The sequence below is a fragment of the Homo sapiens genome, chromosome 2 (genome assembly GCF_000001405.40).
Source record: "Homo sapiens chromosome 2, GRCh38.p14 Primary Assembly".
Taxonomy (NCBI): domain Eukaryota; kingdom Metazoa; phylum Chordata; class Mammalia; order Primates; family Hominidae; genus Homo; species Homo sapiens.
Window position 1 is genome coordinate 14,010,906 of NC_000002.12, and position 13,037 is coordinate 14,023,942.

A 13,037-nucleotide genomic window follows, 5' to 3' on the forward strand; every position below is an offset into this window, starting at 1 on the left:
ATTCTTTCTGAACTTCCTAACAATAGGAGCTATGGGTCAAATTCCTAACTCTAATTTACAAGCCAGACCACTAGAACAATGTTCTTTAGCACAGGAAAATTTCTTGCAGATTTATAAAGAGTAACATTAATACTATTTATTTATTCATGGAGGGGTCATTATGCAAAAAGCAATGGAACATGCTTTTCATATTTTATCTTTTAGTTTTCAAAACAACTCTCTTAAGTAGTATTAGTCCCAGTTTAAAATGAAGAAATTGAAGCTTAGAAAGGATGAGAACTTGAGCTCACTCATACAGCTACTAAATGTGGCAGCAATTTATTTCAAATCCAGGTCTGCATGAAATGCCGTGCATGTACTATAGTGCTGAAGAGCATTGCATCTTCACTATTACCGTGGCTTGCAAACAGCTTGCATTCAACCCCAGCCAGCTCTCTCCTGAGATCCCATTTTGTGCATCTATTACATCAGGTTGTTATCTTTAAATTAGCCACGGTGAGGGTATTTACACTACGGCAGTCCACAAAGACTACAAATCATGGTTCCCCCACTGCCTTCAGAGAGCTGGCTTACCAGCACACTATTGTGTATGACCTAGAGCAGATTACTTAACATTTATGCAGTCTTTCAATTTGCCACCACTTCCTGATTTACTTTTGTCATTTATACTCCCTGAGCTCTTTCCCACTTGACTAGAAAATTTTTCTCCATTGATTTCTTGTCTGGACTGTTGATACAACTGAAGTTAGTCTTCCTCTGTTTCTGTCTGTGCTCCACACTTCTGCCAGAACCATTATTTTTTCGGATTCATTTTTGTTTGACAATAAAAATTAAAATATCATGAAATGTCAAGTTTAATGTGTCAACGTCCATGTGGTTATGATATGGACAGGAGGCAGGAAAACACTGGGTAAAAGAGGGTGGTTCCCCAGCAAAGGTCCCACTCTCAAGCCTGGAAACCACAGCCCTAAGTAAGAACAGTTATCCCTGTTTTCCCACCCAAATGTTGCCTTTTTGACCCACCCCACTCCTGTATTCTGTGCCCATATAAGCCCCAGACCTCAGCTGGCAGAGAGATAAGTGGCTGAATGTCGAGAGGGGAAGGAGCAACTGAGTGTCAGAGACTACAGAGAGATGCGGCTCAACTTCAGAGGACATGACTTCAGAGTGGAGCCCAGCTGGAGCTGGCCGGGCTTTAGAGGAAGATCCCCTTCTTCCTGCACCATCTCCTTTCCAGCTCCCCTTCGGCTGAGAGCCATTTCCACTGTTTAATAAAATCCTCTGCATTCATCACCTTTCGAATCGTTCATGAGACCTGATTCTTCCTGAATGCCGAGCAAGAACTCAGGTGTCAAAAGGGCAGGTGCAGAAGGCTGTCACACTGATTCTTCACTGAGCTGTTTAACACTGAAGCCATCAGCTGAGAGCAAAGCTAAAAGAGCATTAATTGTAACACATCCCTACACACTGCCATGGGACTGGAGGCCAAAAAAGCTCACCCCGCCCCGGCACCCACTCAACTGTGTGCTGCCTCCCGTGAGGGGTTGAGCACAGTGGGTTTGAGTGAGTGAAGTTTGTCCCCGCCAGTGTTGAAATGGCTGGCTGGACCCAGAGCTGGTGCACTTCAGTTCTTGCCTACAAAAGGGTCAAGGAGACTCTCCCATCTCAGTTATCCCCAGTACTGTGATTCTTCACTAACGCAGAATGTATCACAAAATGTCTTGAAAATAAACCCTTTATTGACTCTCAATCTCAAGAAAATAAAAAAGAAGCTCAGTGGAATATAAAGACTCATTATAATCTGGCCCCTGTCTACCCTCAATCTGATATCCTGGCCAACCCTTCCACACTGACTTTCTGTGGCTGTGTTGCTTAATGGTTCAGAGCTCAGGCTCTAGAGCCAGATAGAGTGCTTGGGCTGGAAGCACTATATCTGTTGTGGTTTAAATATGCTTATAAGTTTTGTGAAGATTAATCAACCTAGGCAAATGGACTTGAAACAAACCTTAGCACATACTAAGTTATGTAAATGTAAGTCATTATTTTGTTTTTAGTTTTATTATCATCATTGTGAATAGCCTTTTCTTATTTGGTTTGATCATTTAAAATTGGAGGTAAGATATTGTTAAATACTTTCTGAAATTTAGCCATATGATTCAATTGAATTGAGTGTTCAATACCAGAATATTCATTTAATTACCAAGCTTTTGGAAAGATAATAGATCTATTTGAAGGACATAATGAAAAAGAAGACAGCAGCACAAAATGCTGGCCTCACTCTTCATCCCTATTAAGCTCCTACCTATGATACATGGATAGTTGGGGAGTGGGGGGTGGTGAAGGGAGAGAAATAGAACAAAACAAACCCAAACCAACTTTATATAAAACCATTTCATATGAAACTCTTCATAAGAATTTCCCTTGATAGCCCATGATGATACCATGTCTTTGGACATTGTTACTTGCCTCCTCTCTAATCAGAACAGCCTGTATTCCTCACCTTCTTTGGCTTTTATCTGACAAACCCATTTACCCCTCAAGCTCCAGTTCACGAGTAAACTATTCTTGGAAATCACCTCCGATCTCCTTAGATGTAGTATATCATTCCCTCCATCGTGTGCCCTGCACCAGGGGCATACCACTAACTTTAATTTATTAATTTGTATTGTGAGTTATTTGTAGGTGATCCAGTTTGTAAATAACAGAATGTGAGATCCCTTGGGACTGGGTTGTTTTATCCTAATTATCTAGAACAGTGGGAATGGATATACTCAACCAACATTTGTTAAATTGCATTGCAATACATCAAATGGTGTTTAAGTGAGAAGAAATCATACCACATAGGGGTTTTGTGTTTTGTCTATACCTAGGGAGCATTATATGTATGCAGGACACCAATAATGTATCTTCAGTGATGGGGTGGTAGATATTTACCGAGTTAAATTCATACTGACAAGTTGGGGGTTTTCCCCAGATATATTTATCTTGAGGCTCTACCTCTAGCACAAAATAGTAGAATGTTAGAGATAATTTATTTTTACTGACTAATTTTATAGAACAGAGACTGACTCAGGTTAATATATTGACAATTTTTACAGAGCTAAGTAGGAGAAGATCAAGTAGTTGAAACCAATTCTACCTGTCTCTAAAAAACACTTTAGGTTGTAATCTTTTGTTTCCCCCAAACTGTAAGTTTCATCTCAAATGGTTCACTTGTTTTGACTAGCCTTTTTTGTGCAATTCAGTACTGAATTTTAGACATCATATGTCTCATACCTAGCTCCAATCAGCTGCTATCTACTGTTATGTAATAAGTAGTGTGTAATATGCAATACATAGATATTGAACTTTCTTGACCCATTGTCCAAATATAATTTAGATAAGTTTCTCTAATGTATTTTTTCCTCAGCTTTGACCTTGACTCATCAAATTATTTCATGATTTTGTGGGTTTTCTTTTCCTTTTTTGAAGTTTTTATGTTAAGATTATGATTCTTAAGTCAATACTTAGACAACTGAAGATACATGTCCTTACAGGGCAAGCTGTTTATCTCAACTTTTTCCTCCCATAAATGACAATTATATGATTTTGCAATGTTTGCTGAAAAATAATAAGAATCAACAACAGTTAAGAGTTCAAGAAAGACTTAAAGCAGGTAACAAGATGATGCTAAGAGAATGTCAATAATGTGATTAATACTGTTTCTTGTGAAACATGTTTTTTTTTTCTGACCAAAAATCGTTCATTTCCTCTAACGTACACTCTGAAGAGATGAGAGAGAAAGAAATAGATATGTATCTAAATCTATGCACAACAGATTTATTGAAATATTATATACATCCCATAAAATACGTCTATTTAAAGTGTACAATTCAATGGTTTTTAGTATATACATTGAGTTATGCAGTCATAACCACAATCAATTTTGGAACATTTTTATCACCCCCCAAAAAACTCTTTATACATTAGCAGTCACTCCTATTACTCCTCCTACCTACCTGGCCCTAAGTAAGCACTAATCTACTTACTTTTCTACAAATCTGCCTATTCGGGATATTTCATGCAAAATAAATCATATAATATGTTTTCTTTTGTGAGTTATTTCTTTCAGTTAGCATAATGTTTTCAAGTTTCATTCATATTGTACCATGAATCAGTACTTTATTATTGCAGAATAATATTCTATTATATGGATGTACCCAATTTTATTTTTCTGTTTATAGACATTTGGGTAGTTTTTCACTTTTTGACTATTATGAATAATGTTATAGACATTTATGCACAAGTTTGCGGTGGATAGTTTTTTGTTTTTCTTGGATATATACCTAGGAGTTGAATTGCTGTCATATGGTAACTCTATGTTTAAACATTTGAGGAACGACAGACTGTTTTGCAAAGCAGCACTTTACATTCCAATCAAAAATTTATGAGGGTTTCAGTTTCTCCACATCCTTCCCAGTAATTGATACTCTGTTCCGTTTGTTACAACAGTTCTAGTGTGAGTGCAGTAGTATTTCATGTGATTTTGCTTTGCATTTCTTTCTTGGCTGATGATGCTGAGCATATGTTAATTTGCCTAATGGCCATTTGTATACCTTTTATGGAAAAATGTTTATTCTGCTCCTTTGCCCATTTTTAAATTGGGTTATTCGTCTTTTCTTGAGTTGAGTTCTAAGAGTAGAGTTCTTTATATATCCTGAATCTAAGTACCTTAACAGATATATGATTTGCAAATATTTTGTCTCATTCTTTCGCTGCACTGTTTCTACTTTCTCAATGGTACTATTTATAGCATGATGGTTTTTAATTTAGATAAAGCACACTTTATTCTTTTTTTATTTTCTCAATTTCACTTTTGGTAGCATATCTAAGAAAGCTTTGGCTAACCTGAAGTCACAAGTATTTACTATTACGGCTTGTTATTGTGAATTTTTAGTTGTTTTAGCTCTTACATTTAAGTCTATTATGTATTTTGAATTACTTTTTGTGTATAGTATGGGAAAGGTATTTTGACTTTATTCTTTCACATGTGAATATCTAGTTGTCTCAGGACTGTTTGTTGAAAAGATTATTTTTTCCTTAGGGAACTGGCTTTGTACTCTTGTTAAATATCATGCAATCTTGAATAAATAGAAGGAACTAATTTATTAAAGGAGAATATTTACAGATATATACTAAATATATTAAAGATAACTGGTTAAAATATTTTAAAAATGCCAAAATTATGTTTGTAACTTGTTAACATGATCAGGATTCTGAATTCTACTTGTATTAAAATAAATATTTTAATGCATACATCATATTTAATAATTATAAATTAATATTTATTTATTGCTATGTTTAGCTGATGACATTAGATAAACACAAAAGATTATATTTCTTAGTCATAAGTACTAAAAAATGGTTATGTTAAAGACATGGTTATGTTAAATTTGGGCTTATTTTAGGCAGCTGGTTCCAGCACAAAACAAAATTAAACTTAGCAGTCCTCACAATGTATTTAGCTTTTCTGATAGTATAATAGCCATGTTAAAAGTCACACAGTGACCAGAAATTGAATCAAACATCCCTGTTGTTTGCTGATTAGATCTGGGCAAGTTTCAAATTTGCTGAACCCAGGAGCACTGGAAGAACATTTTGTGTGACTTTCTTCTGCTTTGAGATCATAAGGGATCAGGTAGTGGCAACTGCAAACATGGGAAGGGAAGTTAACTTAGAGGGAGGTGGGAATAGGGAAAATGAAGATGAATCAAAGTAGGAGAAGCTTCTTACAGCAGACCTGTATTCCAGAGCAGGCTACCCACCCACTCTACACCTCCTTTCTCCTTCCACAATCACAAGTTTAGCTGGGCACTTTGCCACCCATAAAGTAAACCACATTTTCCAGGCTCTCTTCCAGAGAAGTGTGGCCATGAGACTGAGTTCTGGCAAAGATTTAAGCATACTTAATACATTTATTTAAGCAATTATATAAAGATAATGGGAGATTTTTAAGAGCCCTCTATAAAGGAAGTGATACATTAAAGAAGGAAACTAGTCATTAATATTAATGAGAGAGAGGGAGAGAGAGAGAGAGACAGACAGATAACAAGGAAATATAAATGCAACAAATTACAGGTGGTGAATCTGGACAAAGGATATGCGGAGGTTCTTTGTACTATTCTTGCAATCTTCTGTAAGATTGAAATTACCTCTAAATAAAATCATGTTAACAAAAGAAGTTTAAAAAAAAACAAAAACAAAAGAAGTTGTACTGGTAACTAAAATTCTTCCTTCCCAAAGACGCTAGGAAAAAAAAAAGTTTCCATTTAAAATAATTCAAATTTACAGGAAAGTTGCAAAAATAATACAGAGTTTATGTGTATATTTTCTCTGCTTGCTCTACTACTCACATCTTGCATAATCATATGTACTTGTCACAAGGTGTTAATACTAGGACAACACTACTAACACACCAGCAGATTTTATTCAGATCAATTTTGCTGGGTTTTCCACCAATCTACTTTTTTTTTTTTCTCCTTTTTTTTGGAGACAGAGTCCCACTCTGTCCCCCAGGCTGAAGTGCAGTGAGTGGCGTGATCTCGGCTCACTGCAATCTCCGCCTCCCGGGTTCAAGCAATTCTCCCACCTCAGCCTCCCAAGAAGCTGGGATTACAGGTGCCTGCTGCCACACTCAGCTAATTTCTTTTTTTTTTTTTGTATTTGTAGTACAGATGGGGTTTCACCATGTTAGCCAGGCTGGTCTTGAACTCCTGACCTCAGGTGATCCGCCTGCCTCAGCCTCCCAAAATGCTGGGATTACAGGAGTGAGCCACTGCGCCTGGTCCTCACCAAACTACTTTTGTATCCCACATTTATTATGCCTTCTTACTGTCCTCTAATCTATAAACATTCCTCAGTTATTCTGTGTTTTTCCTGACCTCGACACTTTTGAAGAATACTGGTCGGGTCTTTAAAAAAAATATCCCTCAGCTTCGATTTATTTGCTGTTTCTCACAATTAGGCTGGACTCATGCAGTTGTGGCAAGGAATACCCAAAGAGTGATGTACTTTTCTCAGTGGCTCATGTAAGGAGGTATGTGGTGGCAACCCAGCTTAATGCTGGTGATATTAAGCTTGATCACTTATCTAAGGCTGGGAATGTTGGTTTTCTCTGATGTAGAGTTATTATTTTTCCTTTGTAATTAATAAATATCATGGGTAATTGCAGACTACAACAGGAGTTACACCTCAAAATTATACCCACTAATTATAGGTTTCATCGGTGGATCCGTCTTGAAACAATTGCTACTGTAATGTTCTAGTGTTGATTTTTAATCCTCCTCTTTCATTTTTTAAGGATGAACTGATTTTTCCGACTCATTTATTTATTTACCCAATTATTTATTTATTTAGATCAATGCAAATTCATGTACCTTGATTTTAACCTATTTTAAATGCTCTTTTTTTGAAGGTGAGTTTAAATAATTATTTAAAAAGCAGATTTCCTTTGTTTTATGCAATGTGTTATGGACAATAAAAATTGAGAGTAATTTATTTAACTCATGTTATGAGCCAGGCATGACTCCAGAGAGCCTGAGGAGACTTCCAGCTTAGCTAACATTTAGCTGTGGGCTTCTCATAGGGTACCTATTGCCTTGACTGCATGAAGGAGGACACTATGACACAAATCTCCCTCTGACAGGTGAATGGGAGTCACCCCAGCCCTCAAGGAACTCATGGTCTAGTCTGGTGTGAGTGAGACATAAAACCAAAACAAGTTACCAGAGATTTGGGAGAAATTTTGGTGTCAAACTCCTACAAAAACTATTTTGATTTTTTTCTGAGCATTTTTTTTCCTGTAATTTTGAACATCGTGAATTATTAAATTGACTTTAAAAATTCCTCTCAGTGATTGCTTGAGCATGGTTCGTGATGCCATGTCAGCAAATATATTAGATCATTACACCAAGGTTTCTATTTTTATTTTTGTGACTTATTTTCCATCACTCCCCCTTTCTTTTTGCCGCTTCAATTTTTTACGGATTTGAGATTTTTTTTATATTTAATGTATTTTCATAAGCTGACAATTATTTTGTGGAGAAGAGGTGTGATCAATGAATAGATACTAGTATGACTATAATGATTACAGTGTAATATATTAACAGTAAACTAAATGTTCATAAATGATAATGGATGACAAATAGATGAAGAAGATGGATGTAATGAATTTTCTGGTGACTCTAAAGACGACTTGACAAAGGTTTAACTACAATTTGGACCTGGAATTGTAACTAAGAATTTAGTGGGCTGACTGGGGGCTGAGGATGTCTCTGATTTAAGGGCAAAGTCACAGTGCAGAACAACACAGAAAACTTCCTTTAATCTGTAATGAAAATATTTTTCTTTTTCTTACCTACCTAATATATTTACTCCAAGACCAATTATTAGAATGTAAACAAAGCATGTTGAGCACTTTTATAAACTTTATGTAGCATTATTAGCACATCTTTTTTTTTTTTTTCCCAAAAATGTGCTCGTTTGCAGGCAAACAATTTGTAGTTGGAAACACAAAATCTGACCTTTTATTTCTGTAAAATACAACTACAAACTTTTAGGGATGCATTTTTATTAAAAAAAAAAGTAAGTGACAACAGTCAGTATCTGATTTACTTTGAATCTAATTTTGAAAAATATTAATATTTAAATAAAAAAAAGATTTGCCAGTCTCTAAAACCTGGAATACATGTAATTTGACTCTCTTCAAATTGTTAACATTCAAAGTAACTGAATTATTGACATCAACAGTTGAATGGTGACTTCTCTATTTCTACAAATTATTTGATTACACGCCCTTAAGACAGCAAAATCAATTTGTCCTCTGACACTGTTCTGACGGATACTGTCTGATTGGTCTCACCTTGTCAATGGACAGCGCCTTTCTCTAAGAACAGACTTAATAGGAACTTCTTTGAATTCACTGAATTTCTTTCCAGCAAAAACACATATTCTTTCAAACCTTTATGGGGGAGTTAAATATTTTTTGTTTTGTTTCTTTGTAAGTTTTTTTTTCTTCCTTTGTTTTTGTTTTGGAGCATTCAAATTGTATTCTCCTTTGAAAGAAATTGCCCTACTTAAATATCAATTATTGATGTAAGCAGGTAGATAAGGCCAGTGCTGCAGTCATCTGTGTATCTAAAGTAGTCCATTTGATAGAAGGAGAAACTGTTTAGCATGTGATGGTGAGAACAAGGGCCTTATGTTCAGACAATTTGTATTCTGGCTGCCCCTCTTGAAAATAGCCCCAGGTGCAGTGGCTCACACCTGTAATCCCAGCACTTTGGGAGGCTGAGGTGGGTGAATCACCTGAGGTCAGTTTGAGACCAGCCTAGTCAACATGGTGAAACCCTTTCTGTACTAAAAATACAAAAAAAATTAGCCAGACATGATGGCACATGCTTGTAACAGGAGGCTGAGGCAGAGGGAATCTCTTGAACCTGGGAGGCAGAGTTTGCAGTGAGCTGAGATCACACCACTGCACTCCAGGATGGGCAACAGAGGGAGACTCTTGTCTCAAAAAAAAAAAAGGAAAAGAAAAAGGAAAAAGAAAACAACGTCACGTTCGGAAAATCACTTGCTCTACATTAGCATTGGTTTCCTTATTTATTTAATAAAGATTCTACATGTAGGCTGCCTGGCTAACAGGCACATTATTAGCAATTCTTTTTAAAATTATTATTAAATTGTCATGTTGAATCTGGTGCCTTAAAGGGTCAAAGATATCAAGCTGAGTTATACAAGTCAATATGAAAATAAAATTAGTAGTTATTTCGTTGAGCTTTCCTTTCCCCCATGGAGAAAACTAAACCCCAGAAATAGCTGTAGTTAGTCAGAAGGCTCTCATCAAACTGGGGCCAAAGCGAAGGCTCGAAAATCAATATGCTTACCCAAGCCAAAGCAACGTTGCACGGATTTTGTTGTGTTTCAATGTATCTTTTCTTTTCAGATTGTGTGATATGAAAAGAATGACCAAATGTACAAGTAGATATGTAAGTGGCATTTTGTAAGTGACAATGAAGCACTACCAGAACTCTGAGAGTTAATGTGCCAATGGATTCATCCACGACATGGTGAATGAGACCCTAGAGCTACAAAAGCTCTCTTAGAGATACACATTATCGCAATCCCAAAGCAAAGGTAGGAACACAAAACCTTATGTATATCGTAAATCAGTTTTGAGACAACTATACAGATAATATATCTAAAAAAGAGAGATCTTTCAGCACATAACATAAAAAGCAGTAGTGTTAGGCATGCTGGACTGTTAATGGAACAGCTCTTACTTTTGTTATTTGTTTTATATGGTTGTTGATTTTGATTCTAGGCATAGATGCATCAGGTTATTTTACTGGTATGTCACTAGCTATTCATCTCTTCCATTTGACACTTCTTGATTCATTTCAGGGATCATCCAATAACCATTTGATCATCGTTAGGCATCCTGTACAGCTTTTCTACATTGTGAGGCCTGTTTCAAATGGCAATTGTTTTCTCGATGAGAAGTAATAATGATCACCTGGATAAATAAATTATTAACCTGTTTTACTAGGAATCGATCTCCTTAAATTTATTTACTGAGAGAAGTAGGTGACTAGATATGTTGGAATAGCTGAGTGTGTCAGAGAACAAGGGCATTAGACCAGGCCAGAGAACACCAAGACCCTACTGTGAGGATTCTAAGACAGCCTAGGAGGGCCTGAGAATGAAGTCTGAGATTCCTCCTCTGACCAGCAAGGACAAGAGGTGGACTGGGTCACTGAAAAATGTGCCTCTTGTCTATGATTTAAACTTGTGGAGCAGATGGGGATTTAGGAAAACAACATTCTGGGCAAATTCAAGGTCAGAATCAGGGAAATGAGTAAAAAAATTACCTCTAAAAATAAGACCAAGTGAAGAGGAGTAGCCTTTGTATAAAGATAAAAGTTGTTTAAATCAAATTGTGCAGAGAAAATTTCTAGTTTAATATATGAAAAAGAAAAGTATACACAGTGGTTAAGAAAATAGGCAGAAAAATAACTGTGAGTTCAAAATCCAGCCCTTCAACTTTTGTGAGTTCAAAATCCAGCTCTTCAACTTTTCTGCATACTGAACACTTACCCATGGAACTCTGTTATTATAGATATATACGTATATCTATAATAATATATATTATATATATATTTCCCCATTTTTAAATAGTTCTGACTCATAGTAAATACTTAATAAATGCAAAATGCAGAAAGAGATGTGTCCATGGTTCTCTCAGCTGCTGAGTTATACATGCTCAAAACTTTTAAAGAGGTCAAAGTAGAACAGATGGCAGCCTGGAAATAACTGAAAATAACAGGCCACAAACAAATGAAGGTATAGAACTGGGCCAGTACATAATTGGACCAGATTGGAATGATTATAATATGACCCAAGAAGCCAGCTTCAGGCCTCAAGGCTTAGAGGGAACAACCAACTATGAGTGAAGATGAAATGAACAACATGTATATTTCTTCATGTTCACACAGTAATTCTTTATCAGTTATATCTGTTAAGTGTCATATATTAAAATTTCCATTTCATGGACAAGGAGTCTAAGCAAGAGAAAATAGAATAACTTGCCCAATATTAAGAAAATTATTTAAGAAACATAAAAAATTAGCTCTGTTGTGGTAGAGAAATAATACAGAAATAATATTCATTCATTCCACAAAGAATAAGAAAAGCATCTTAGTAAACAAGGCAAATTAACTCCCTTCCCTTATAGATAATATTTCTCTGCTGTGATGGCACAGAATATAAACACACAGTCATTTGAAAAAGTAGTGCCACTTATTTGCTAGATGACATTTATTGGGCAGAGTGAGGTTGGGACAGGAGATAGTTCTGTGATCATTCCTGTTCGTTAAGCATGAATTTAAATGCATACTTTGCTAAGTTTTTTAAAATTCTGTTGTATAAAAGGAATATTTGTTTTTTCTATTATAGGACTAGGGAAAAGCTTAAGAACCATTTAAGGGCCTTCCATTCAGAGAGAATCATCAGTTAAAAATTCTTAACATGTTATTTCAAGCTGCCTAGAGTTGAATGTCTACAAAATATGATGTTTGGGGATACCACGTAGCTTTGGCAGTAGAGAGTTATGGCAGAAATACATTGTACTGGTTTTCTGAGATAGGTAGCTGCTTGTGAATATGCTGAAGATCTTGGAGAACAAAAATGGCAAACTTGGGTGTTTATAGTTTCAGTCCAAGACATATATAGAAAATAGACATTTTCTATGACAGCTCTGTTATATCGACATAGGATTTCATGAAACCAAATTCTAAGTTGTACTCATCAAGTGTCTGAATTACAATGTTAATTGAATTTATAGCCTCTTTAGGTCTCTTATGTTCAGATCAGAAATAAATGTGACTCTAATAATTGGTATTGAGATCTTAAATCCCAAAATCCCAGTGGTGAAGGAAGAAATCTTTTCTCCCCATAGGAGGAGATTTGCTTCCCCAAGACCAAAAAGCTTAATAATAAATCTCCCAGAGGCAGCTGCCTTGCACAGGCAAGTTGAATCTCCTTAACACTCACTGTATCCCTCTCACTTTTCAAAACCTATGTTGAGATCCAAATCTGAGTAGATACCGAAGAGTATAAACACAAAGTCTGAGAAGCGTTGCCATACATACAAAAATATTGCAAAATTTACCAACTCACATATGTAGAAAACTGGGAAATATGTATTAGAATGGACTCCAAAGGCATTTGATGAAGGCGAGAAGAATGTAAGGTTGGATTAGCATCACAGTAACCAGAGTGTTGGGATTCAAAGTTTATGGAAGCAGCTTGAATGAAACCCAGATTGAATGGCAACATTGCTTCCATTGTTTCAATCACACTATCCCACTTCTGCCACTGGATTGCTTTAGCCGTATTCTGCTGTTTTTGCGTGTTTTGTTGAGTCTCGGAAATTCTTGTTCTAGTCTCAGTATTACTGAAGCAAATTTCCTGTTGGAGATACTTTGACAACATCCGTA

The 13,037-nt window shown here is 36.0% G+C and overlaps 2 annotated features.

Annotated features, from left to right (window-relative positions):
- Positions 7,017–7,186: an enhancer, noted in NCBI's record as "experimental_52989 CRE fragment used in MPRA reporter constructs". NCBI's record gives its function as "activates a minimal promoter by MPRAs in K562 erythroleukemia cells, with activity observed for both the introgressed and non-introgressed 2:14158132 variant alleles {active_cell/tissue: K562}" and the evidence as "EXISTENCE:reporter gene assay evidence [ECO:0000049][PMID:34662402]".
- Positions 11,935–12,104: an enhancer, noted in NCBI's record as "experimental_52999 CRE fragment used in MPRA reporter constructs". NCBI's record gives its function as "activates a minimal promoter by MPRAs in K562 erythroleukemia cells, with activity observed for the introgressed 2:14163050 variant allele {active_cell/tissue: K562}" and the evidence as "EXISTENCE:reporter gene assay evidence [ECO:0000049][PMID:34662402]".